The sequence below is a fragment of the Homo sapiens genome, chromosome 6 (assembly GCF_000001405.40).
Source record: "Homo sapiens chromosome 6, GRCh38.p14 Primary Assembly".
In the NCBI taxonomy this organism is placed as follows: domain Eukaryota; kingdom Metazoa; phylum Chordata; class Mammalia; order Primates; family Hominidae; genus Homo; species Homo sapiens.
Genome location: NC_000006.12, coordinates 52350921 through 52378768, shown reverse-complemented (window position 1 = coordinate 52378768; position 27848 = coordinate 52350921). Strand labels below are relative to the sequence as shown.

General features: G+C 42.6%; 1 protein-coding gene across 1 annotated transcript in view, besides 4 other annotated features; it reads right to left on the bottom strand.

The window, feature by feature from the left end:
* Positions 1–16618, bottom strand: part of PAQR8 (progestin and adipoQ receptor family member 8) — a 45627-nt gene extending 29009 nt beyond the window's left edge. The window contains exon 1 of the mRNA NM_133367.5: positions 16520–16618. The gene's annotated coding sequence lies outside the window, so the exon portion shown is untranslated. The remainder of the gene's footprint in view (positions 1–16519) is intronic.
* Positions 16366–16855: a silencer, noted in NCBI's record as "silent region_17283". NCBI's record gives its function as "represses an Ori minimal core promoter by ATAC-STARR-seq in GM12878 lymphoblastoid cells {active_cell/tissue: GM12878}" and the evidence as "EXISTENCE:reporter gene assay evidence [ECO:0000049][PMID:35858748]".
* Positions 17029–17214: a silencer, noted in NCBI's record as "fragment chr6:52226353-52226538 (GRCh37/hg19 assembly coordinates)". NCBI's record gives its function as "represses an EF-1alpha promoter that drives an FKBP-Casp9 reporter gene in an ReSE screen in K562 erythroleukemia cells {active_cell/tissue: K562}" and the evidence as "EXISTENCE:reporter gene assay evidence [ECO:0000049][PMID:32094911]".
* Positions 25993–26492: an enhancer, noted in NCBI's record as "H3K27ac hESC enhancer chr6:52217075-52217574 (GRCh37/hg19 assembly coordinates)". NCBI's record gives its function as "activates a minimal SCP1, AML or CMV promoter by ChIP-STARR-seq in naive H9 embryonic stem cells {active_cell/tissue: H9 hESC(naive)}" and the evidence as "EXISTENCE:reporter gene assay evidence [ECO:0000049][PMID:30033119]".
* Positions 26029–26078: an enhancer, noted in NCBI's record as "active region_24675". NCBI's record gives its function as "activates an Ori minimal core promoter by ATAC-STARR-seq in GM12878 lymphoblastoid cells {active_cell/tissue: GM12878}" and the evidence as "EXISTENCE:reporter gene assay evidence [ECO:0000049][PMID:35858748]".

Sequence of the window (27848 nt, the reverse complement as noted above, 5' to 3'; positions counted from 1 at the left end):
CCCAGGCTGGAGTGCAGAGGCCCAATCTCAGCTCACTGCAACCTCCACCTCCCAGGTTCAAGTGATTCTCCTGCCTCAGCCTCCCAAGTAGCTGGGATTTCAGGCATACACCACCACGCCCAGCTAATTTTTGTATTTTTAGTAGAGACAGGGTTTCATCATGTTGGTCAGGCTGGTCTTGAACTCCTGACCTCGTGATCCGCCCGCCTCGGCCTCCCAAAGTGCTGGGATTACATGCCTCAGCCACCGCGCCTGGCCAATTTTCTTCCTTTTTAAGGTTGAATAATATTCCACAAAATTTTGTTATATCTGGAATGGGGTATATTTGATGCCCACTTGATAACTCTGCTTAGCTGTAACAAAGATACCTCAAATGAACACTACCAAAAGAGAATCAAGCTTCTTCCACTAACCCTACTTCTGTCCTGTGCTTCTTGTTCCTATCTCAGTAAATGGCTGCACCCAGGTGCTCAAGCCAGAAACCAGAGATATAGCATTTCTTCTTCACTGTTACTGTTCTTTATCCAGTTGCCAGTGATAATTACTAAAATGACTTACATATATTGAGCACTTACTCTCTACTACACATGGTTCTAAGGTCATTGCATGTGACTTAAATAAATAAAACATTTACTCCTCTCAACTCTATGAAATGGAATCTACTATTTTTAGCTATTGTACAGATGAGGAAACAGGTGAAGTCCCTTGCCCAAAATCCAGACAGGAAGTGGTGGAGCCAGAATCTGTGCCCAGGTAGTCTGGCTCCAGAGCCCACACCCTAAACTTTTATGCTATTCAGGAAATGCTTTCTGTTTCAACCTCGTTTATTGGAAATCATTCTACCAATGTATTAGTCCACTTTCCTAAATGTGTAAGTGAACATAATTTTGTCCAGGTCCTTTATCTCTTTCCATATAAAGTTTGGCTAATAGAGATACCAATGCGAAGAAGATAGGACTGTGTCTATGGTAAGCCTAGGAAGTTTTGGTTAAGAGCAAAACTTAAAGGGGAAGTTAAGTTTCCCCTTTAAGTTTTGCTCTTAACCAAAACTAAGTTTCCCCTTTAAGTTTTGCTCTTAAACAAAACTTCCTAGGCTTTTGGGAAGTTGCTTCTTAAACAAGTCCCAAGGATGTTCTCCCTGCGAAATTGCTCTTAAACAAAAGTCCTAATAGCATTTGATTTTCCTGTGTTTTGATATTTTTTTCTCTAAAGTGGAATATGTCAGCAAGTCAGTTTACTTGAAGACTGTGATTAATCAAAGCTATAATGTAGCAGATACAGTTATTAATATCAACAAGGTACATCAATCATAAACACCATTAAAAAACTTAAAACTTTCCTTCTTTGAGGTTGCATTGATCTTGGAGGCAAAGTGGGCTGGAAAGCAGACAGTCCAAGCCTGAGTCCCATCAGATTAAATGAATCATATACTTAAAATAAACCACAATCCTTCTGGTACCAATAATGCCGTAAACTGAAAATAATAATAAAGGCCAACTACTTAAGATTTCTGAATTAAAGTTGAAAAAAAATGAATGCAATTACAAGGAGTAAGATGAATGCAGGTCGAGAAAGTGTCACTTTTCCATTTTAAGCTTATTCAGTGTCTAACAGCCAATATTATATAAGTTTACCATCGAGTTAACATTAAAATACGATGCATTTTAAAGCAAAAGTGTGCCTTTTGAAGTCCCTAAGGTGCCTTTAGAAAACAGAGGATACAGTACCAGCAAGAAGCTATTTGGGCAAGTCCATAGATCACATGGGCTGGGAAGAGACAAGCACTCAATGTTACCAGAAATTCAAGGTCAGCACTTGCAGTTTCATTTCCATCACCCCAGCACTCCCTTTGACAAAGGATTATAGTATCTACTGAAAAGTTGCATTCATTCCCAACTTGCTATTTCAGCCTCAACCACCACTCATCCCTCCAGAGAATTCAATTACTTTCGCATTCCCAAATAACAAGCAAATGATGATTTGGGGGGCCTCTTTTTATATGACATCCAAAAAGATGCAGAAAATAAAGAACAACAGTAAGCCAGAAGTGATTTCAGCTTAAGTATGATTTTTACATACGCATCACTAGACAAAAGTATACAATTAATGGGGTGGGGGTAAGCTCTAAATCTTATCTAATTTTTAGAAAATACTTTAAAAATACTTGGCTAATCTAATATTTTGTCTAACCTATATGGGTTTTTCTTCCTGCTTTTCCTCACCCCATATCCAATATTCAGTTGAGACTTCCAAAATGGAAAAGTATCTCTGCCTGTCCTTGCTCTGAAATCAGAGCATTCCAAAATGAGCCTCAGTTTGTCTTTTCCTTGCAAAAGAATGTACTGTTGATTAAAACAAGAGAAAACCACACCAGTGCATACACAGTCTGATCTTAACCACCCAGAAAGCAGCCTGGCATCCTCTGTCAAGCCTCTTAGAGACAGGCAGGCCTGGAGCAGCCCACACAGCTTCTGCCTGCATAGCCTACCAGCTCACAATGATTTTGGTGACTACGGACTGGCCTAAGCCATTACTGCTGTCCAATACATTGTCTAAAATATGGTCATGAACACTTAAAACCTCACCAAGGAAGTCTTGATGCTTCATACGCATTATCTTAATACTCTCCAAATTTCTTCAAAAGAGAACTACTATGTGACAGCAAGTTAGTTATAACCAGGCACTAAGTTTTTTGCTTTCCCATCTCATTAAACTACACATAATCTAGATTCAGTTTAATACAACTGCTATACCAGAGTAGGAACAGGACAGGCTCTGGGTTTCAATTCCTTTTCTTCCCCTTCAGCACTGCATTAGCATTTTTCTTCCTTAAGAATGATTTGATTTAGTCTTACTGACAAACCACTGAAGGACCTACTATAAGTTGCAAAGGGAGAGTTGCAACTTCCAAATCTTCCATGAACCATCAGTGTTTAAAGCATCCCAGCCAGGCATGGTGGCTCATACCTGTAATCCTAGTGCTTTGGAAGGCCAAGGCAGTAGGATCACTTGAGCCCAGGAGCTCAAGACCAGCTTGGGCAACACAGACCCTGTCTCTACAAAAGAATAAATAAATAAACACATAAAAATTAGCCAGGAGTGGTGCCATGCACCTGTAGTCCCAAGTACTTGGGAGGCTGAGGAGGGAGGATCACTTGAGCCCAGGAGGGGAGGCTGTAGTAAGCTATGATCAGATCACACCATTGCACTCCAACCTAGGTGACAGAGTGAGACCCTGCATCTTAAAAAAAAATTAATCAAAAAAATTTTGCTTTCTCTTCTGTTTTCCAGAGAGGGTTTGGCATCTATGTGGTAATGTCAATGAATGAGGAGATCTGCTCCCTAGCTGTTAGGGACCTAATATGACCACAGGCTAAAGAGCTCACTGAATTTTAGTGCAGGAAGGGCTTTATAGACTACTTATTTAGGAGATGGCAAATAGATTTCACTTGTCATGCCAACCTCTATTGCTTGGTAATGGCTTCCTGAAATCACGTGTTGAGCAGCATTCCAGGCCTGGACTGGAGTTTAGAGGGCAAGGTGTTATGGATTTACAATGTCTGCCACAAGCTCTTGAGGGAGGTGGGGCTCAGGAGGGAACAGTGGCACAGAGCCATATATTTGCCACCCCCGAGCTGACTCTACTATAGACAACTAAGTGACTTGTCGTCTACTGTTTTTCCCACTAAACGTTTTTAAAAAGTAGTGATCATATCAATAATAAAAAACTATTTCAAAATATTTGCAATAACATATCTTTAAATAAAATACATTGTCCCTGAAAATGTATTTCCCTCATTATCTCTAATATTATTATATTAATATAATATTATATTAATTATTATCTCTAATAATAATGAGGTCCTCCTTGGCATGTCCCATAGAGAGCCAAAGGTGGAATTTCTAGGCTTTTCTTCAATTGCATCCTGACAACTACCATCTTCTAGAACTCTATGAGTAAGATGGTTAAAAAAAGAGCTAGGAAGTTCTCCAGCAGTTATATGGCTTCTGTGATGGGACAGGACAGGTAAGGGGGAAGAAAAGGAAACAGAGGTTTAGGAATCAAGCAAATACCTATAGGCTCATACCTATAATCCCAGCACTTTATGAGGCCAAGGCAGGAGAATGGCTTGAGCCCAGGAGTTCAAGACCAACCTGGGCACCAACATAGCAAGACCCTGCAAAAAATTAGCTGGGCATCGTGGTATGTGACTGTAATCCTACCTAATAACAAGGCTGAAACAAGAGGATCACTTGAGCCCAGGTGCTCAAGGTCACAGTGAGCTATGATTACACCACTGTACTTACAGCCTGGGCAACAGAGTAAGACCCTGTCAAAAGAAGAAATGAAAGAAACGAAACAAAACGAAAAGAGGGAGGGGAGGAGGAGGAAAGAAGCGAGTAAATATCAGTGCAGTGATCCCAATGACAAAGGAAACTATTAAGCAGGAAAGTCAATGTGATGTTTTGATAGGAAAAATGGAGAACCAAAGTTTCTTGAACTTGACTAGTGTATTAGCCCATTCTCTCATTGTTATAAAGAAATACTGGACACTGGGTAATTTACAAAGCAAAGAGGTTTAATTGGCCACGGTTCTGCAGGCTGTACAGGAAGCATGATGCTGGCATCTGCCCACTTTCTGGGGAGGCCTCAGGAAGGTTACAATCATGGCAGAAGGCAAAGGGGGAGCAAGTACTTCACAATGCTGGAACAGGAGTAAGAGAGGGAGTGGGGAGGTGTCACATACTTTTAGACAACCAGATCTCATGAGAACCATCAGGATGACAACTTCAATGGGGATGATGTGAAGCCATGAGAAACTGCCCCCATGATCTAGTCACCATGCCCCACTTCCAACACTGGGGATTATAACTGAACATGAGATTTGGGTGGAGACACAGATCTAAACCGTATCAACTAGCAAAGCTATCTTGATCAATTAGTCAATACGATTTATTTACTTGCTGTCTGCTCTGTTCTTAATGCTGTTATGGACCAAGTGGACACATCTGAGGAAAAAAAAAAAAAACAGATCCTTTTGTAGCCAGCTTATCCAATCTCTCCCTCTACCCTAAGGCAATCTTGGACACCCAGGCCAGGTCAGATCTCTGGAGAGGCAGAATCAGCCTCCCAGTACCTACTCAGTGTTGGCAGCCAACTGGCTCCCAGGTGAGGAGAACATTTCTGGCAGTAAAAGCAGTACACAGCAGGCAAGAGACCCTAAGAAAAAGCAAGGGAGAGGAGAGAGGCATGTGATTCCGGAGACAAATAAACACAATTAGCTGTGCTAGAAACAAACTGAAAAGACTCAGTGGGACGGCTGATTCCTTCCGCCAAGAGAAAACCAAAGGAGAATTCATTTAAAAGAAACCTTTTAGTTCCCTTGGCAGCTATGGCCCAATGACAGTCGTATTTTCTATTAAGTCCTTTTCATTGTGGATTTCTCCAAGATTTAAAACACTATCACAAGAAGGGTTTGACTGCTTTATCAGTTTTGCTGCCCTAATAGAATCCATTAATATTTCAGGCTGGTCCTTTCTTTCTTTCAGACGGGCCTTTCACAGCTATTCTGTCCCTGTGTACCTAAATGAACCCAATTTGCAGCAATGGGAAAATGGTTGAATTCATAGAAATCAACAGTCATGTCCGTGGGAGTTTGTTAATCCCAGGATCCAATTCTGTAATGCAAGGATTAGCTACAACAGTGGGGTCTGGTAGCAACCATGTAGCATGGCAGTAAACAAGATGGGCTTTGGAGTTAGGCAACTTGGATTTGAATCCTGACTCCGTCAGTTACAAGTTGGGTGACCAGGGGCAAGTAATTTAAACTCCTTGTGTCTCAGAGCCTTCATCTGTCAAATAGGGATATAGTGATATCTAACAGTGTTATTGTGAAGTTTAAAGAATTATAATAAAAGGGTCCTTACCTTTTGGAAACACATTTTAGAATGTTCACAAATAATATGATGTCTGGGATTTGCTTTAAAATAATCTGAAGATATATATATATATATCCATATATATATATATATATGGAGTTGGCCATGAGCTAATAATTACTGAAATTGGTTGATGGGCACATGGGGATTTATTATACCATATTGTCTACCTCTGCCTGTTTGAAATTTCAATAACAGAAAGTTTAAGAGAGAGAGAGAAAGAAAGAGAGAGAGAAATACATGTAAAACTCTTAGCACACATGTGCTCATTAAATGTAATCTGTTGTAGATCAGAGGTTTTGAGGGCATTGTTTCCAGGTCACAGAGGTGCCAAGAGACCAGCCTGCCTCTCTAGAAACATGGGTGGGTTCTGGGGCCAACATGAGGGAGTTAAACACATGGAGAACTTCACTGTCACTCTAGATCATCCACTACTGCCCAACCTTTTCACTATCAGTAACAATAAGTTGATCATTATTGGTTCTCTATGCTTTGGAAGTTTACTAAATCTCACATCCTTCCAATATTCATTACCTAGATCTTTTACAGATATACAGAATCAGAGTTCCGAGTCAGCTTTAGTTGAGCTGGTAGTGGCTCCAAACTGAGCTACTGTCATTTCCAGCCAAAAGCTAAGCATTTCCAAGTTTTAATGGCTCGTGCAGCTGCCTGACAGACATGTATGTGGTTTCACAGGCATACAAAATAGTGAAAAAATGTTCAATGCACTCCATGCCTCCAGTGGGTTCAGGAAACCACTTACATCAATTCAGAGCCAGCCCCAGAAATTCCCAGCTTCTAGGATTTCTTAGATAGAGTGCTGAGCTGGACAGACAGGGAACTCCACCCTGGAGTAATGCCAAGCTAGATATGCACTCCAAGGAATCCCTTAATTAAACCAGCATTTCCAAACACGATTTCATGCCCCCACACAAACAAGGCATCTGCCATCTTTGCTCTGACACTAACTTTAAGAGCCCTTGCACTAGCCACTTCATCTCTGTTTCATTTGTACTGGGATATCTCCCTCCTAAGGTTGTTGCAGGGACCAAAGGTAATGCAAGTAAAGTACATTGCACAATGCCTGGCACACAGTGATTGCTCAATACATGGTAGCTATTTTATGTCTTTGTATGCTTTTACATATGCATGGATATATTATTACCTCCTTTGGAATTTGGTTAATATTTAGACCCAATGGTTCTCTAGGCCATGAGATGTATCACAGCCACATAATTATAAAGAGTTTAATATTTTCTTTTACATTTTGATGCAGCTGTGTTCAATCTTCTTTTCCACAGAGATGGATGTATGGATCACTGTGTTATTGTCAACAGTACCTGTGTGTCCTCTCCTATGCAATTCATGCTTCTTCTGTAATAGAAGAATTCTTCTATTCATGCTTCTTTTATAGACAGTAAAAAGGAGAAAAAAAGTGCTCCAATTCAAGTCTAGCAAGACCATTGTTATTACTATTATGAAATACTTGCTGAATGTCCACTGTACATATATTGTTGAGAGGGTCACTGGACAAGATGAGCATATAATAAAGCTGGAACTCCATTAGCAAAGACTTCAGTGGTCTTTGGCTTCTCTAGGGAAGCTAAAAGCGAGCTAATCTAAAATTTTACCCTTACCTTACCCTTACCTAAAACTGGCACTCTCTTTCCCCTTATCCTGATTTATTTTTCCTCATAGCATTTTTCACTACCTAAAATCATACATTTCCTGATTTACTTGTTTATTGTTTGTCTCCCCCAAGAGAATATATGTTGCATGAAGGCAGGGACCTTGTTCATCTCTGTTATCTCCTGTACCTAGAAATCTGCCAACCAAGCATATAGTAAAGTAGACCCTTGAAAAATATTTTTCAATGAGTGATTTAATTTTTTCCTTTCTGCAAACACCCAATTGCAAAAGGGAATCTAGATCTGAGGTCCTGCTCTATGTATTCCTTATGTAGCTGACCACTGCAATCCAATGCAGAAGATAGGGAGTAAACACACACACACATACATGTGAAGTGGTGCCAAGTGATACGAAGAAAAATGAAGCCAAATAAAGTGATTTCCTCAGGGCCTTACATACCATATACTATTCTGATTTTTGCCTCTGTGCCATTGCAGAAGCTATGTCTCCCATCATAAATGTCCCCCTCTTTGGATATTCTTCTTCTTTCAAGATCTCACTCAGGTTGTTTCTCCTGAATTACACTCAAACTGTAAGAGCTCCCACTGACTTTACCCTGTCTCACACTGAGGGGTACTGCACCTACTACCAGTGCCTCAGAGTCCTACACACAATTATAAACGTTCTAAAGTTTTCTCCTTCATGGAAAAAAAAAGCAGACACTCCAAATGTATTAGGCTCCTTAAGCACAAAAAGACGTGCTTTACGCTTCTCTTACATCTCTCAAGGAATCTAGCAGTGTTGGGTACTTATTAAGTGGCCAAAAATATCCCTGTAAATGAACTGACAAATATCCTATTTGAACCCCACCTCTGCCGCTCTGGCCTTATTTCATTTATGCCCCAACAACATCTATTGCCTTTTTCTCCCTCTCCCTCCCAAGTGTCCGAGTTAGACTGATTCTTGAGACCTACAAAAATCTAAGATATTTACATCCCAGATGAGACAAAGACATTGTCTGAGACCCTCAGACCAGCAGCTTCTCAGAAGGTGGCAATAGTTCCAGAGATATAAGTCATAAACAAGTCATTATTCAGTATATTTTAAAGAGGGGAAAAAAAAAAACCCATGCAATCCAAGAAATACCTTTAGCACTTCATGAATTAACATGAACCTCTTCATCAAACCAAGATTTGCGGAATCAGTTTCTACTTTCTTGAAATGCCACCTGGTTTCAGTGACATTCTTGAACCTATCTGGGTAACATTTTAGCACTGCAGGCAATTGAGTATTAGCCCATGAAACTAATTCCACTTTCTAAAGTACTCAGGGTCTCTGACAACTCAAGGGAATAATAGTAATGACTTTATCTTGCTTAAGTGCAGGAATAAAAAAGCTAAGATGGGATTTCTGGAATGAATTCACCATGGAAAATATAAATTTTCTAATTTGAGAGCCATTAAACTCCATCACTGACTATATACTATCTGCTCTTCCATATTTTATACAGATTTACCAAATTCTCTTTATAGTTTTCACCAACAGTCATTTCTCCCAAAATTATGATCCATAGACATTATTCAGCAGAGTATGTATATTTTATGTCCATCTTCGCCTGGTTTTGTAGCTCACCTCCAGTTTCCTGACTACGGATTTATTTTGAACCTTTTGGTATTCTCTTGGAGTCAAAAGAGCAGGTGTTAAGGACAGGGCAAATACAGAGTTTCACAATATTGTTGGAAAGTACTCAATTCTCTATTCTTTGAGAATAGAGATTTTTTTCTTCTTCTTTGCTCCTTTTAATCTTGGACCTGAAAAGGATAAATGTCACCACCTCTACTGTTAGCTGTGTCTCAAAATCAACAAAAAGCTCTTAAATCAATAACCCTAGCTCTGGTCTTTCTCAAATTCTTACAGCCCTAGGAACTGAGGGTTGATTAAAGTCAGGAACCAGGTCACCCTGGAAAGAGAGGTGAACCAGCCTTGGGTCTTCCCTAGGTGTACTTGTCTTGAAATTTTGAAGTCACCTATTACCTCCATTGTATATTAACATTTATCATAATTATTATTTGCTCATTCAAAAAATATTGCTCTGATATGGTATTGAATATTCCTCACATAGGAAAATATGAACAGTTTATTTGCCACCCAGATGGTTTGGAAGCCTATACCCTCCAAGACATTGAGAAAAGAAAAATCTTTCTCTCAGGAGAGAGAATGAGTGCCAAGCAATGGGAGAAGCCCCTTAAAAAACCATCAGATCTCGAGAGAACTCACTCACTATCATGAGAACAGCATGGGGAAAACTGCCCCCATGATTTAATTATTTCCACCTGGTCCCGCCCTTGACACGTGGGGATTATACAATTCAAGGTGAGATTTGGGTGGGAGACACAGAGCTAAACCATATCACTCTTCATCTGTTAAAAAAAAATCAGTATATTTGCTCTTTATGCCTCATGGGATGGTAGCAAAAGTCATATTTGAGAAGATATATAAAACTACTTTGAAAACTGTCCAGCAGATGTGCACACAGAAATATTGAATGAGGTAAATTTATCAGTATTAATTAAACACCTCTAAGGTTCTAAAACAATGTTTTTCAAACTTTGACCACAACCAATTAGAAGCCAACATATACCCAAGACTAAACAAAAGTTTAACAACACTTACGTTACTTAGATATTTTTAATTCCCTTTTCTTCTTTTTTTTTAAATACAAGTCATGCATTTCACACGGCAGTGGTCCTTGACCCTCAACTCACACCCAAAAATTAAAAAAATCTGATACCCAGGTGCTACTCACCTTGACTCGCAAACAATGGTCTGGGGTGGGGCTAGGGCATCAATATTCTTGGACAACCCCAGGTGATTCTATCCTATAGCCAGGACTGAGAACCACAGTACCAATGGTTTCTAGATCACAGCTAAGAAAACACTGTTACTTATTTACATCCTTATCTGCTAAACATTCTCTGTGCCCAGAATTTGCTCCACTTGCCCGTTTGCTGAAGATCTGCTTGTTACTGAGTTGATTACTCACTCATGTGGCTCGTGTGTGTGTGTGTGCACGTCCCAAGTAGTTGGGACTACAGGCACGTGCCACCACACCTGGCTATTTTTTGTATATTTTGTAGAGATGGGGTCTTGCCATGTTGCCCAGGCTGGTCTTGAACTCCTGGGGCTCAAGCGATCTTCCCATCTCAGCTTCCCAAAGTGCTGGGATTACAGGCATGAATCACCATACCTGGCTAAAGAAAAGCAAAGGGGAGGGAAATGGCCAGACCTCCTCACCTGCTCACACAGCAAAGGAAACTCTCTGGTCATGTCTAGACAAGGGTCTGAGAAGAGCCTTCAGAAGCCTGGGAGATAATAAGTTCAATCAGAAGGAGCTTCCTGGCCTGGCTATCTCCCCCTTCCAAGTGTAGCCCACATGGAACAGAAAGCTCCTCCATCCTCATCTTTCCTCTACACAAGTCTGGGGGACTGTCCTGTTTGCGTGGTTGATCTGCAGAGTACACTTAGCTGTCTGGCAGAACCTAGGACAAAATGCAGAAGGTACCAGAGACGCTGGAGGCCCTACATCTGTGCCCCTGCCCTATCCTTGGGCACACAAATGAAAACAAGAAACCTGAATTCTTTCTGTACATAATAGGTTAAGAAACAAAAGCTGTGTCTGTTTAAAGCACAGTCTTTGGATTTTGACCTAGATCTACCAGTCATGATACTAAGAGTTGACACTTATTGCGATCCTTCTGTGTGTTAAGCATTTCATACACACTCTAACTCACATCTCTTCAGATATGCATCCTATGGATACTCAGATTAAGTAACACACCCAGGGTGGCACAGTTAAGAAATGGTGGTGTCAGGGTGCTAATGCAGGTTTATTTTTACTCCAAATCCCACGCTCTAGCCAAGGGCTTCTCAGCACTACTGATGTTTTGAACCAGATAACTGTTTGTTGTGCGGGGCTGTCCTGTGCATTTTAGGATGGTTAGCAGCATCTCTGGACTCCACTCATTAGATGCCAGTAACATCCCTCCCCCTCCAGGTATGACAATCAAAAATGTCTCCAGACACCACCAAATTTCATCCTCTGGGGGAAAGGGGCAAATTCACCACCCACTTCTCCCCATTAAGAATCACAGCTCCAGGCTGGGCACAGTGGTTTACGCCTGTAATCCCAGCACTTTGGGAGGCCAAGATGGGCAGATCACGAGGTCAGGAGTTCGAGACCAGCCTGACCAACATGGTGGTCAAAAATTACAAAAATACAAAAATTAGCTGGGTGTGGTGGTGCGCGCCTGCAATCCCAGCTACTCAGGAGGCTGAGGCAGGATAATTGCTTGAACCCAGGAGATGGAGGTTGCAGTGAGCCGAGATTGCGCCATTGCACTCCAGCCTGGGTGACAGAGGGAGACTTCATCTCAAAAAAAAAAGAATCATGGCTCCAGTCTAAGCCACAATGTATATTGTTTCCTGGTCCTTTACAAGTACATAAACCGCTACTCAGAAGACAGAGCAAAAACCAAACACAACATTCCAGGAAAGTTTCGTATAGCAATAATACCACCCCATCCTGCAGATATACTTTGTAATTCACTAATTATAGCTATTTTCTCCTTTTATGGCCTCTGAGTACATATTGGGATCTAATTTTGAAAGAGTTAATCCACCTCAAAAATATGAACACTATTGAGAGATCCACCTATTTACCCTTCTTTGAGAAATTGAAGGAAAATATCATGTAGTAAAATCCATATGAATTCTTAGCTCCACAGGCCATTAGGAGAAGAAGCTTTTGTTCCTGCATCATTGTAAGAGAGCACATGATGTGAATGAACTTCTGAAGGGCAAAGCCTGTGTCTCAAGCCTCTCCATCTCCAGCACTTGCTTGCCTAGAACAGAGAATTCTCACTAAATGGTCAACATTTCATGAAACATTAACTATTTCATAGCAGCCCCTAATCATCTGATTAAAATTAAGATGAAACTTTCCCATCTTTCTAATATATGTACATATATATATAAAATAAAATTTATAAACTTGAAAAAAAACTAGTGTTGACATTTACAGAAGAGCTGAGATTTCAGTGCCAGGCTATTCTTCCCTATTGTTTAAAAAACACAGCAGAGCAAAACTCACATTTGGAATGAAGGGAATGTTTACCAGAATCGTCTCTTTCAATACGTGCCAAGAGAACTGTAGCTGTTTCGTTAGAATAATATTTTCATTGGATGAAGGGAAAAAAATTAGAGAAGAGGCTTTTAAACTTTTTTCTTTCAGATTTGCCTTACCACACCAAACTGTTATACATAATATACAATCATAACAGGAATGCTCATTTAAAAAAAAAATCTGAATTCAAAAGAAAGTAACTGGGAGCACTGACTCCACTTATTTGGAGTCTGTATTTCCTCGTTTCTGAATAAATAAAAAATAACTAATTGTCGTTGCTTTTCAGGTTACCCTTTAAAAACTCTTAAAAGACCAGGAGGGCAAAAACCAAAATGTTCTATTTGTAGTTAGTTGCAAAACCTAACTGAAGGGAATATCATTACCTGGGAAATGATAAATTTCCACATGGCTTCAAAGGAATTTTAACATAAGACTATCAATAAATAATATTCCTAACAAGAATAAGTAGACTCTGTTGAGCACTCATGATGTGTCCGGCACCGAACTCAAGTGTTCTACACGCATCAATGTTATTTCATCTTCATCACAGCCCCATGAGGTACATACTCATTAATATCTTCATTTTAAGAAAACTGAGGCCAAAAGAGATGAAACAACTTGCCCCAAACCACAGCTAGATCAAGATTCAAGCTGTGGCTGTATGAAGCTTTATGCAACACAACCTGAAAAAAAAAATGCGAATTTTAAAAAGGGATATGTTCAGTACATTTTTTACTGTGTGCCATGAAATCCCAAAGTTGAAATGAATGTTCAGAAATCATTCTCTTCCCTTTACTTCTGTGGATCCTTTCACATCAAAAATCAAGCACCAGGCATTACCTACAGCTGGGGCAAATGGCTTTCTGGGTACCTTTTTTTTTTTGGTGAGACAACAAGTCTTTTGTATTTTTGTTTTGCTTTCTGTAAAAATCCACAATGACAGAGACTGCCTAGTAACAAGTATCAGGAGGGGCAAAGAAAGGCTTACTTTTTCTAGCCCAATAAGCCATAAGCTATAACAATAAAGTGACAGGACCAATTACTTTACATACATACCAGAGCATAAACACCAAAATGAAGGTTGTGCTTCAAAGTAGTTAAGTTTTTGAGGAGTTAAATGTTGTACTCAAAATTTCCACTGTGGAGATGATGGGAGCCCCTAACCCCGGTGTTATTCAGGGACCAACTGTAATTCCTTCCAATCCTAAATACATACTCCATGCCATTACTAAATGCCCCTTTTAGAACTGCCAGTCTTTCAAGAGAATTTTCATTACTTTAATGAGCATACTTATTGACAACCTCGATTCCCCACCTCGGAAGCCCAAGTTGGCCCCGCACAGTGCCTGGCTGTTTCCCAGCTGAGGAAGGTTTGCCACCACTGAGGCAATCAGGAAATGTGTTGCAAACTCGGAAGGCAACTCCAAAGCAGGAGCTCCAAAATTATTCTCAGTAGTGACAGCATCACTAGAATTAGTACACAGCTTGCCAAGAGCAGGCTTTTGAAGGGGAGAAATACTGATTTGAATGTATAAATACTGGCATATTTATTTTAACATTTGGATAAAGAATTGGAAGCATCAGCAAGTGTTACGTCCAAGTGAATAAGTACACTGCTGCAGGAATGATAGTGCAGATTTTGATGCAAGGTCCTGACCACTCAATAAGGTATACACACACCCTTAATGGAAATATGCTTATCCTGAAATGATTCTTGTAAAATGAATAAATCGCTTTCTATCCTGTTAACTTGCATAATTATTAAAGATTTCCTTTTCATGAATTAAAAACAGACCCAACAAATGCTAGTTGCCAAAATAATCCTTGTTTATCCAATGAAGCTCAAATCTCAGTGTGTGTCAGAAGATGGACCTATATGCACCAGAAGGAAATCTGGTGCATACACACACCCGCAAAAAAAAAAAAAAAAAAAACATATCTTTCAATGGATATATCCACTTAATAAGATTCCTCTACTCTGGGTCTTCCAGAATTGGTTGTTACGCCAAATAACTGAAATAATTACCATACATAATTAACAATACAAGATGGGTTAATGTAAGATAGTCAACATTTAACTAATAATTGAAGGACACGCACCCAAGGACAAACAGCAGAAATAAAAAACAAAAACAAAAACAAAGCCATGCCTTGGTCCTTTGTTTTTAGATACACACTTGGATACTCATCCACTGAGGTCCTAAGCAGTCTGGCTCCCTTCCAGTTGACCTGGTCAAGGGTGCAGCAGCTCAGGGCTGGGTACACGTTGTGGATAACCTTAACAGGGCAGTCAAGGGCAGTCTACCTTCCATGCAGGCAACTCCTATTAACTTCAGTAACAGGAGTCTTCACTGACAAGCAAATACTCCCAAACTGTACAATACTCTCATGTTTAACTCGACTGGAATGCAGTGCGTTTGTGGACATTGTTTGGTGTGTGTATTTGTTGTGGATTTTCCTCGTTTTTACCCAGAAACAGCTTCTCAGAGTACTGGAACAAGTAGTACACACGTGGGTCTAAAAATCACACATACAGTGTATTGTATGAGTTATCCCTAAGGCGCGCACACACACGGGTAGGTATTACCTGTACATTTGAAATCTCACTCCATAACTAATTTTTTTAGCCCAGGCTCTTCTCATTGGGTTCCTGGACAAAATCATTTCTAACCCAGCTAAGAAATATGGAATGCAACTTAGGTCAAGACAATGAGCCTGCCAAGGCTCCTGGACTTCCCACTAGTCTGCCAGTGCCTGGAGCACCCACAGCTGCACAGGAAGCTGCTGTGCCCGGCTACCTCCAGGTCCCCGCACCGGGTCGGCAAGGTGCAGCAGCCCCCAAACCCAGGCTCCGAATATTCCCCAAGCGCGCTGAGTGCGAGGTCCCCACCCGCCTCCGTCTGGGGATGCCCGGTCTTGCTCCCTAGACTAGATTCCCTCTCGAGTTATCTACGACCCTGTTCCACCGAGGGCGCTGCGTTCTCATAGCCTAGACAGACGTTCCCAGCGTTCCAGCCCCACCAGCCACCTCCGACACCCCACCGCGGCGTTCCCATCCAGCCAAGCCCCAGCATCCGCCCATTAGCCAGCTGCCGGCGGTTCCCATCACAACTCCGCTCCTCGCGCCCACCCTCTCAGAGAAGCCCCCTCCATCTTTCCCCGGCGAAAGCACATGCCTAGACCCACCCTACTCTTTCCGGGGTTCCCCTACCTCGGGCTGCCCTTCCTCGGGCTCTCCCTACCGCCCCGGGCTTCCTCTCCTCCGCACTCCCCTCCCAGGTTCCGTTCCCCTCCGCCCTGCGGAGGGCGCCCCACAAATGCGGACAGGACGCCCCTCGTTCTGCCCTGTCGGACTCCCCCACGTCTTGGTCCTGAATCTCCCGCCCTCCGGGCTCAGCCTTCCCAACATCGCGGTCCCCACACCCCCGCCAGCTCTCCAGGCTCAGGCTCCATGACTCCCCAGCATCGCAGTCCTGGCCACCCCACTACAGCCGTTCAGAGCTCCAGGGCTCCCCAGCATCCTAACCCGTCGTCCCCCCTTCCGGGCTTGGATTCGGAGACTCAACATCGGGGCCCTAAACTCCGGCCCCTGGCCTCAGGTTCCCAACGCTGCGACTCTGGACCTCCCCTCTGAGCTCGGGGTGCGAGGACTCCCCAACGCCGCGATCCTGACGTCCCCGCCTCCCGAGCTCGGGCCCCGGGGCTCCCCGACCTCGCGGTCCCAATACCCAACTCGACCCGTTCCGCGCCTCCCGCGGCGGGACTCACCGGCAGGGGCGGCGGCCGAGCCCGTGCGCGTAGCCCAGCCCGGCCCAGCCCGCGCTCCCGCCTCGGGGTCCCGGCCACGAGCTTCCCGCGGGTGGCTGTGACCGCGGCGGGCTCGGCTCGGGGGAGCGGCCGGGAGGAGGAGACCGCCGGGGGCGGGTGACGCCCAGCTCCGCCCCTTCCCGACCCGGGGGCGGGATGCGCAGACCCGCGCGCTCCGCTGCAGCCCGCGCCGCTGCCGCCGCTGCGAGGAAGTTGACTGACGCCGCTTCCTTCCACCCAGGACGCAGACCCTCGCAGTCCCTGGTAGCTGCAAAAAATCCGGAGAGTTTGAGACAGAGACGCCTTAACCGCCCTCATATTCTTTCCAAGAATTCACCTCTCAGGGGGCCATTTCCGAAGTCCCTCGGGAAGGGCGGAAAACAATAACAAACTTCATCTGCGCTGTCAAGACTGATTTAAATCCTGGCCTTTCTCTCACCACTCTCGGGTGAACGTTCAGGGTCATGCCCATGATATAAATAATGTGATGACATACCACGGAGGCCCTTGCAGACACTTCCACACCCCTAAGATACACCCGCCCAAGACTCGCGCCTCTCCCATGACTACATCACACAGACACATCTGACACTGACCTGCAGAAGATCCCACTTCTACCCTGTGTCCTCAATCCACAGCCTTCGTGGGTCCCAGCAATAGCGACCCACACATACAATCTATTGGAGGCAGGGTGCGGGGGTGGGTTCCACCTCCCGACTTGCTCCTCACCCACAATGTTCTCGGTATTTTACCATGAGAAAAAGACAGTTAAGAAGTTGGATGATCAATTAACAAATCAAGTTGGCTTTGCTTTTAAAAAGCCTTCTTCATTATCTGGAGAAAAGAGAAGGCCTGGGAAGATGGCCTGCTTACTGTAAGATTTTGTCAGACAGGCCTAATTCTGGTCTGCTTACTGTAAGATTTTCTCAGACGGCCTAATTCTGGTCTGCTTACTGTAAGATTTTCTCAGGCCTAATTCTGGTCTGCTGGTTCCCAAAACTTCTCTTATACCACCGTGTTTCAGTGACATGTTGCACAACATCTCACATTTGTACAATGTTTCCATTTTTCAAAACATTTTAGCCGAGTGTGATGGTTCACACCTGTAATCCCAGAACTTTGGGAAGCCAAAGTGGGCAGATTGCTTAAGCCCAGGAGTTCGAGACCAGCCTGGGTAACAAGGTGAGACCCTGTCTCTGCAAAAAATACAAAAATTAGATGGGCGTGGTGGCACACGCCTGTAGTCCCAGCTACTTATTCTCAGGCAAACATCACGAAGCAAAGAAAGTAATCTTAGCAGGATTATTTCAGTTCCATAAATGAAGACATTTAGACTCTGAGCAGTTGCACGGCAGGTTTGAAGCTGAGTCAGAGCCAGGAAAGAGCCCAGGGGCCTGTCTTTAGAGCCACTGATCTCCCCAGGGAATCATAGTCCAGCACTTACTTATAGGTGGATACTAGTGGAAATGTCACAGGAGGTCTTTGGCAGCTTTGCTCCCTCCATCTCTTCTTCACCCCAAAGATGTCAGGGAACTCTCCCTTAACCTCAAAAACCCGGGCTCTCCTTTATCGTCAAAAACCTATGATAGGCCAGAGGTCACAACCGTACAAGAGGGCTTATTGAGAGGGAGTGAAAACTCCTTCCACTTTGGGCCACTCTAGAAACAAAATTACAGGTTAGCACATCTAAAAGCCTATCCACAGCCTTCATCCAACTAACGTGAGCTGTCAGCCGGGAGCTGATGAGCCTCCGAAATGCATTGCTGATTATTTTTGCAGTGTTTTTCTCCCTAACAGTTAATCCATGTGGAATGTGAAGAAGTCTTAAAAGGAGACTAACAAGGCTTCTAATTCTTTCTCAATGGTAAATGTTCCTTTCTTCTTGCCCTTTATCCAAAAGGCAGATGTGAACGTGCATGTAAAGTGTAATGGGTGTCAGGCATTGTTATCTGTGCATGAGGCAGTTCTGTTTCCAAGTGACGCTGTCCAGAGCCACTAAATAAGAATGGTGGTTCTCATCCTTCATGCCTTTTAAAACTACCTTGGTCTCAAGCTAGCTTCTTTTATTTTCTACTGTGAGGTAATGGCCTACTTCCGTTTGGGCAGTAAAAGTGATGTTTTGGTAACACTGGAAAAAGTCCTAGGGTGACCTGGCTATTTTTGAATTATAATAAAAGCCTGTTGGGTCCTTCATAAAAGACAGTTAGGATGGCCTTTGGTATATGGAAATTCACAGCCAACTTTCCTCTATGTAATAATCCCATCTGGCAACACAATTTTGACCTGAGATTTTTCCAAAACCTGGAAACAGCCAAGATCTTGGGTACTGCAGTATTTCCTCAATAAGGAGAATGCTAAACTGCGAATCCAATCAACACGTATCAGACCTAGTTCCCTTTCAGATTGCCCTTGAAAGCCACAGACACAGGCAGTATGCAAAATGATGAAAAAATAGATAAGATTAAAGAGTTATTTTTGTCCGAATCTCTAATAAAATAATTTGATCTATTTTACATTGGATACATACCACATTGACACTGTTTTTATAAACACTCTACTTTGTGTTTACATATCACTTTTCCAAGAAGCTCAAAGTATGTTTGATGACATCATATTACTCAACTTCATACACTTATATGAAGTAGGAAAGGGGTAAAAACTGGTAGTCTTATTGTAACATGGAGAAATGGAAGTGTGAAATAGTTAAAACCACTTGCCTGGAACATTCTGGTATATATACTGGTTTATACTAAAAGTAGACCTGTTTGTGAAAACTGCTACAGTGAAGAGTTATTTAAAAGCTGTACTATTTTTGTTTTCTTTTTATATCTTATGAAAGGACTGAGGACTATTAATTTCTTCACTATCTTGTCAGAGAAAAGGAGAGGCACTTTGCATAGTGGTTAAAAGTGTGGCCTTGGGAGTAAGAGCCTTCAGTAGGTAACTTAACTTTTCTTCTTCCTTTTTTTTTTTTTTTTTGGAGACAGTCTCACTCTGTCGCCCAGGCTGGAGTGCAGTGGCATGATCTCGGCTCACTGCAACCTTGGCCTCTCGGGGTTTTTTTTAAGTAATTCTTGTGCCTCAGCCTCTCAGGTATCGGGAATTACAGGCACACACCACCACGCCCAGCTAATTTTTTGTATTTTTAGTAGAGATGCCGTTTTGCCATGTTGGTCCCAAAGTGCTGGGATTACAGGCATGAGGCACCATGCCTGGCCAGTAACTTAACTTTTCTATACTTCAGAATCCTTATCTCTAACACAAAAATAATAATTGTACCCACATATCTTATAATGAAGGCCTGATTAAATGGGTGAAAAGACAATGACTTCATTTAAGTGGGTTTTTTTTTTTGAGACGGAGTTTCGCTCTTGTCGCCCAGGTTGGAGTGTGATGGCGCAATCTCGGCTCACTACAACCTCCACCTCCCGGGTTCAAGCAATTCTCCTGCCTCAGCCTCCTGAGTAGCTGGGATTACAGGTGCCCACCACCACACCCTGCTATTTTTTTGTATTTTTAGTAGAGACAGGGGTTTCGCCATGTTGGGCAGGCTGGTCTCGAACTCCTGACCTCAGGTGATCTGCCCTCTTCAGCCTCCCAAAGTGCTGGGATTACAGGCGTGAGCCACCGTGCCCAGCTTAGGTGGTTGTTTATGGGATCTTTGTTTCAATGCTTTCTACTTGCAGAAAAGATATACTATCCCAGTGGACTACATAGGAAGAATTTGGGGAAACTTGAATGTCTGTATTTTTTTACCGTGAAGTCAAATCCATCATTCCTTGACATTCCATGATCAGATAGCCATCCATACTTAGTTTTTCTATTTAGATCCCCTGCCAAATGGCCAACTGGGAAAAGTAACCATGATACTAATTTCACATACAGGATGCTAAAGAACTGTGGTTAGTCAGATTAAAAATAAAAATCATGATTTTCTTGTACTGTCTGTCTATTTTATCCATTTAATGGTGGAATGGTAGGGGCTCACTAAAGCTAATTTGATTTTCATTAGGAATTGCTCATGCCATTTTTTCCTTTTTGTTTACTTTTAATAATAACAATTCAGGGAGCAAATAAATTAACCCATGTAGACAAAAAAGAGATGTAGAAATTGCTCCTGGGCCCTCCGTAAGCCCTGGGCACATGTGAGGTTTTGAGGCCTTATATCTGATCTCTCATTCTCTAATGTAACTAGTTCCTAGTTGAAGAGTTTCAGATGGCAAACTATAAGAATAAATGATAAAAGGACTTAGCATTATTTTAAAAGTCTTATCTAATTTATTTATTTTAAAATTTTTAATCGATGCTAATAATGGTACATATTTATGAGGTACATGTAAATGTTGACATATGCATACAATATGTAATGATCAAATCAGGGTATTTAGAGTACCCATCACCTCAAACATCTATCTTTTTAAAAACATTTTTAAATTAATTTTTTTATTTCAATTTACTTTTTATTTTTTTGAGACAGGGTCTCACTCTGTCACCCAGGCAGGAGTGCAGTGGCACAATCACAGCTCACTGCAGCCTCAACCTTCTGGGCTCGGGTGATCCCCCCACCTCAGCCTCTCAAGTAGCTGAGACTACAGGTGCACACCACCATGCCTGACTAATTTTTTGTATTTTTTTTGTAGAGACCAGGTTTCACGATGTTGCCTAGGCTTGTCTCAAACTCCCAGGCTCAAGCGATCCTCCTGCCGTGGCCTCCCACAATGCTGGGATTATGGGCGTGAGCCACCATTATCACTTATTGGTGTTGGGAACACTTCAAATATTCTCTTCCAGCTGTTTTGAAATATATAATATATTGTTGTTAATTATAGTCACCCTACTGTACTGTTGAACACTGGAACTCACTCCTTCTACCTAACTGTGTGTTTGTACTTATTAACCAACCTCTCTTCACTTCCCCCTCCCTTTCCAGCCCCTGGTAACCATCATTCTACTCCATACCTCCATGAAATCAACTTTTTAAGTTCCCACACATGAATGAGATCATATGGTATTTGTCTGTCTGTGCCTGGTTTATTTTACTTAACATAATGACCTCCAGTTCCATCCCTTTTGGTGCAAAGGATTTCATTTTTTATGGCTGAATAGTATTAATAAAATAATATGAATTCCTACAGTCCAACAACATTTGATGTGTGTAAGTGTTCATTTTAACACCTGTTCCTAAACAAAACCCAGATTTAGGAAATACAGTGTGTAATTGGATCATGGTAATTTAACAGCAAATAAAAGTGTAGATATCAAAACACAAGGCCTTTCCTTATTCTCCAGCAGAAATTTGCAACTAAAAAGCCTTAGGGTAAATGGACTTGGTTTCCCTCCTCTTTAAAAGGTCTGACAATTTTGTTTCTTCTATCCACTTTGCTCCTGATTCTCAGTCATTTTATCCTGGGGGAGAGAGGGAGGTGGGCAATTCCTGAGCACTGGGAAAATCAGAAAGATTGAACTTCAGACTGATACCAAAAGCTTCGAGAAGTTAACATTTCTTTTCTTTTCTTTTCTTTTCTTTTTTTTTTTTGAGACAGGGTCTCACTCTCTCACCAGGCTGATGTGCAGTGGTGCGATCTCAGCTCACTACAACCTCCGCCTCCTAGGCTCAAGCAATTCTCCTCCTTTGGCCTCCCAGGCAGCTGGGATTACAGACGCCCGTCACCACACCCAGCTATTTTTTGTATTTTTAGTAGAGACGGGGTTTCACCATGTTGGCCAGGCTGGTCTTGAACTCCTGACCTCAAATGATCTACCCACCTCAGCCTCTCATAGTGCTGGGATTACAAGTGTGAGCCACTGTGCCCAACCAGAAGTAAACATTTTTTACTCTGCCCAACTTCAGTTCAATCTGGACTGTGTTCTAAAAGAAGATTTTGGAGAGAAATTTCTCAGGCTTAGGACTAGAAAAGGAAAGCCATATGAACTCACCCAGGATGAAAAACCGAGGCTTGAACCTCTGGACTTTGCCACACCCCAGCTGGTATACTGATAGCAGCCTGGAAGTGGACAACTCCCTATAGCTCACTTCAGTTTGTCACCTATCATCTAAGTTAGGCTAATGAGCGAAGGCACAGACCCTCCTCTGTTGGACAGCTGGGGGTCAAAATCCCAGGAAGTGACAGAGTGTCCCTGTCCATAGCTCTTTAGTTGAAGCCTTTCTCAGGGATACTTATCTCAGTTCTCTCTTTCTTTAAATAGGATGGGACGGTGAAAATGGCAATCTTGGACAAGATGAGTAGCAATTGCATTATTCATGCTTGACTCTGCCTTGGTTTCAGGGTTTTAATTATCTAAAAAGAAAAAAAAAATCAATGCAACAATTGGCCAGTTTAATTCAGCTTGTGTTTACTGAGTCTGTTTTCACTACAGAGGAGTAAGTCAGGGGGCCAGAACTGGCTGTCCATGTGTCCATCTGGAAGGCCCCTCAGGATAGATGAGACCTGGGCTATATCCCAGCCCAGACCTCAGGGCAGGGCAGATAAATTGGGGTCCTTTCCAGTCCATATTTGCACCCCTGGGGACAAGGCACTGGATGTTGGGCCAAGTTTAAAGTTGTGGTTTTAGTCAAGGGTGACTTCTGTTCTGATGGGAAATAGCATCTTGAGTTGACCTCTCTTGTGATACTTTCATTTTGCAGATCTCTTTTTACTTCTTTGGCTCCTCCGCTGGACTGTAAGCTCCTACGGAGAGAGGTTTGTATACATGATAATCATTGTCCTACCCATATGACATAGCAAATAGTATGTGTTCAAAATATATTTGTTAAATGTGTGAACCAAATAATGTAAATTCTTGGCACATTGAGAATCCACTTAGTCCAGGAGTCCATCATCATTTACTATTGAACCCTTAGAGAAGGCTAGAATGACCTACAAATGTTCCAGAAGAAAACATGCCCCGGGGTGGAAACAAGGAGGACAAGAAGAAGCAGTTAAAGAGAAGCATGTCTTCCAATCTGAGAGGAAGGGAGAGAGAAGGGAAAAGAATGAGCAGGGGTTAATTCTGGTCCCAGCAAGCAGTGCTATGGTAATGAACCGCTCAATTTTTTAAATTGTCAAATTGAATTAAACTGAAGTAAATTGGCCAGGCGTGGTGGCTCACGCCTGTAATCCCAGCGCTTTGGGAGGCCGAGACGGGTGGAGCACGAGGTCAGGAGTTCGAGACCAGCCTGACCAACATGGTGAAACCCCGTCTCTACTAAAAATACAAAAAATTAGCCTGGCATGGTGGGGCATGCCTGTAATTCCAGCTCCTCAGGAGGCTGAGGCAGGAGAATCACTTGAACCCAGGAGGCAGATGTTGCAGCGAGCCGAGACTGCGCCACTGCACTCCAGCCTGGGCGACAGAGTAAGACTCTGTCTTAAAAAGCAAACAAAAAACTGAAGTAAACTGAGTTGCAAGAATTTGACATACTGAAGAAGTATCCTGAATAGTTCAAACTAAAGTAAAATTCTCCTTTGTTCTCCCTCTCAATTAAATTAAAATTCTCTGATTATCCTTCCCACTAGCCTGGGATCCTCCAGCCCTGAGGACATCCAGGAAGAACCCTGGAAGCTACTCTGAGTGTGAAAGCCAGGTTTATCGGGTCTTTCTCCCTAAACGTTCCAGGTAACCTCCAAAAATCATCTGACAGCCTGGGGGTTTTGACAAGAGCCTTCAAATCCTGGCAATGTCAAGGGGAAGTTCCAGCAGGAGGCTTACAAAGCAAGTATTCCCTGCAATAAGGTATGATGACTGAGGACTGACTAAATTAACTAGGGTCTATGCATGATGTGAAATACTGTGCAGTCTTCAAAAATCACATAGACTGTATGGCACAGAGAAATATGCAGTCTGTGGTTCTATGGTTTAGTAAAACAGAGCAGGTTATAGTGCAGTGTGATCCAATTTTTTTTTTCTTTGAGACAGAGTCTCACTCTGTCGCACAGGCTAGAGTGCAGTGGCACGATCTCGGCTCACTGCAGTCTCCACCTCTTGGGTTCAAGCGATTCTCCTGCCTCAGCCTCCTAAGCAGCTAGAATTACGGGAGTGTGCCATGCCTGGCTAATTTTTGTATTTTTAGTAGAAACGGGGTTTCACCATGTTAGCCAGGGTGTTCTTGAACTCATGACCTCAGGTGATCTGCCTGCCTTGACCTCCCATAGTGCTGGGATTACAGGTGTGAGCCACCATGCCCAGCCAAGTGATCCTTTTTTTTTTCAAAGAAGATACGCTGTACATGCACTGCAAAAAAAAAAATAAATAAAGAGAAAGAAGCTGTACATTTATAATGACATTTCCAGGATAACATTTAAAAAATTATTTCCAATATTTTCCAAATATTCTTTATAAAATAAATACATACGTAAATGGCTGTCGCTAATTTCTCGGTATGTACATACAACTCTAATGGGCTATAATTAGCTATAGATTATTATACAACAAAAATACAGTAAAGTTAATTATAGCAATTGTGATGGTGATGTGTGGGGTGCTTTGTGAACATCCTGTGCTTCTGAGCTCATAACAACAACAAATATTTATTCTCTTTTAAATTAGATGTTAAAAGAGGTAACTTGCTACAGGCAACCAAAAACTGTCAGAGTCAGTTCATCATCTGTGGTACAGCAGGTGTGGGTGGCAGGGAGGTCAGTCTTGGCGTGCTCAGACTTCCAGGAACCTGAGATTCATAGGCAATGAGCCCCCTTCTAACGGCCACTAATGGGTACATCTGGTCCTTTGACTAGCAGCATTGGATCTGAGCAGTCTGCCTTCTACCTATGCTTCTCTTTAATGGTGCATTTGACATCTCTTGTCCCCTCTATTAAATCAGGACTGGAAAAGAATTGTGCCAGTGGATGCAATTCTATTGAGATTGAGTCCAGCAAACGCTGCAGCAGGATGAGGCCTGACTGCTTTAAATCTCTCTCTTTTTCTCTTTGGACAAATCCAATTAGCCCTGATCCCTCCACATTTCTGACAAGGGGTCAGCAAATTGTTTAGGTCAGAAGGGAAGTACCTTATTACAATGCCATGAAGACACTAAATAAAATTTAGTCTGGGGACAAAGGGGACACATGGCTATTGCTCAGTATGCAATATTCTATTATTAATTATTTCATCCATTCAGAATATATTTATTGAAAACCACCTAGGTGCTAAAAGCACTTTGCTAAGATCTCAGGACAAAGAAATGAACATGGTGCAATCTTCACTCTCTGATCTAGTGGAGAAAACATATTTAAAGAAATGATGACAATGCAGTGTTACAAGGGCTACAAGAAAGGTACACTAGACACTATGAAAAAAACAGAAGAGGCATTCCTAGCTCTCTAGTTACCAAGCTTTTTAGTGTTGGGAGGGTCAGCAAAAGCTTAGGGTGAGTCATGAAGGCTGAGACTAATAAGCAGACAAGAGGGGAGGAAAGCATTCAGGGCTGAGGAATAGCAGGTGCAAAAGCACAGAGGCACACAGCAGTATGACACTTACAGGAAAAAAATCATGGGTGCAACTCCTGCTTATACCCCTCAGCATGGAAGAGAGAGCTATACAGTCCGTGACCAAATAGTTTGACCGTTAGTCACCTCATCACACACATGGAGTATAAAAGAAAGTAAACACAGTCCTTTACTTTGGGTTCCCATGACATGCTCTGACTCATATAAAATCCTCAGGGGAACAGATATTCAGGAGCAGCTCCTCTTCCTGTTTCACTCAACCTACCAGTTCCTCTAACTAGCACCAAGATTTAGTATCGACTTTCGCAGTGGCTGTGTGGTCAGCACCTTGTGTAAGCAAGGGCAGGAGAGTCATCTCTCCTCTGGGCTCTCTGCTTGCTTTCTCCTTCCCCATTTCTTTGGCCCATTTAAATGTTTGCATTCCCTCCACTCCCAGCTCTGCCCAGTGTCATCGTTGTCCTCCTCCTCCTCCTCCTCATTCTTCTTTCTTCCTCTTCCTCCTCTTGCCCTTCCCTTTCCCCTTCCTTCCCTTCTCTTCTCTCTCTCTCTCTTTTTTTTTGTTTTGTTTAGAGATAGGGTCTCTTTCTGTTGCCCAGGCTGGGGTGCAGTAGCACAATCATAGCTCACTACAGCCTTGAACTCCTGGGCTCAAGCAGTCCTCCTGCCTCAGCCTCCTGAGTAGCTAGGACTACAGGCACATACCAGCACATCTGGTTAACTTTTTGTTCAAATGGGGTCACCATATGTTGCCCTGTCTGGGCTCAAACTCCTGGCCTCAAACAACCCTCTCGCCTCAGCCTCCTAAAGTGCTGGGATTACAAGTGTGAACCACTGCACCTGGCCTCTTCTTATGTTCAGTCTTAGGTACATTTTAAGTCACTCAATTTCATCCACTGCTGCTACTGGACTGGGTCAGGAGCTTCAAATCAAGTAGGTGGGGGGATAGAGCCCATGAACTGGCCTTAGGCTCAAATATCTGAAAAAGATCATCAGGCCTTTCATGTGGTCTAGTTTAGCCACCTGATAACTTATGATATTAAAAGAAAATCTGTCAACTTCTCTGCCTTAGAGAGCATTCTCAGCTTGGTGATGTGCAAACCATGAAGCCTGGGGAAGGTTAAAGAGAAAGAAAATCTATCCTACCAAATGGGAGGAACCATCGCAAGATATGAGACTGGAGAAGTAAGCCGGGCTCACATTTTGAAGGACTTTGCATATCCTGAGAAGGAACTTGAACTACACAATGATTTTCCACCAGAGCTGGGGAAGAAGGATAAACCCCCTTCATGTCCTCAAGCTCTATTGATGTGGACCTCTGCTCTGATGGGAGCAAGTTATAGCCCTCAGGTGCTGGGTTGCTTGCTATTGGAGATAAAAAATTATAAGCAGGGAATTCACACGAAGAGATATTTTGTTTTTGAAAAATCTTGCTGGCAGCAGTGTGGGAGAAGGATCTGAGACTTAGCAAGGCTCCAGGCATGAGACACTGGGACAAGGACACTGGTTAGAAAGCAGTTGTAGGTGCGAGATGCTAAGAGCTTGAAGGAAGGCAAGGTTACTGTGGCTGAAGAGCAAACACCAGATCCAAGAGGTATTCATAATTAAAGGCAAAGTCAGTAGCATTTGGTGGCTAATTATAGGTAGGAAGCTGGATCCTATGCTGTGCATTCATATAGATTTCCGTATTTTCCATGTCGTAGTTTTTTATCTCACTATGTTGGAATTTCTTATTAAAGCCTTCTCCATGACAGCTAAAATCATGTGAATCTTGTTCACGGCTATGCTCCCAGGACAAAGCACACTGCCTGATAGATACAAGTCTTTTAAAAAGTTAGCTAAATGTA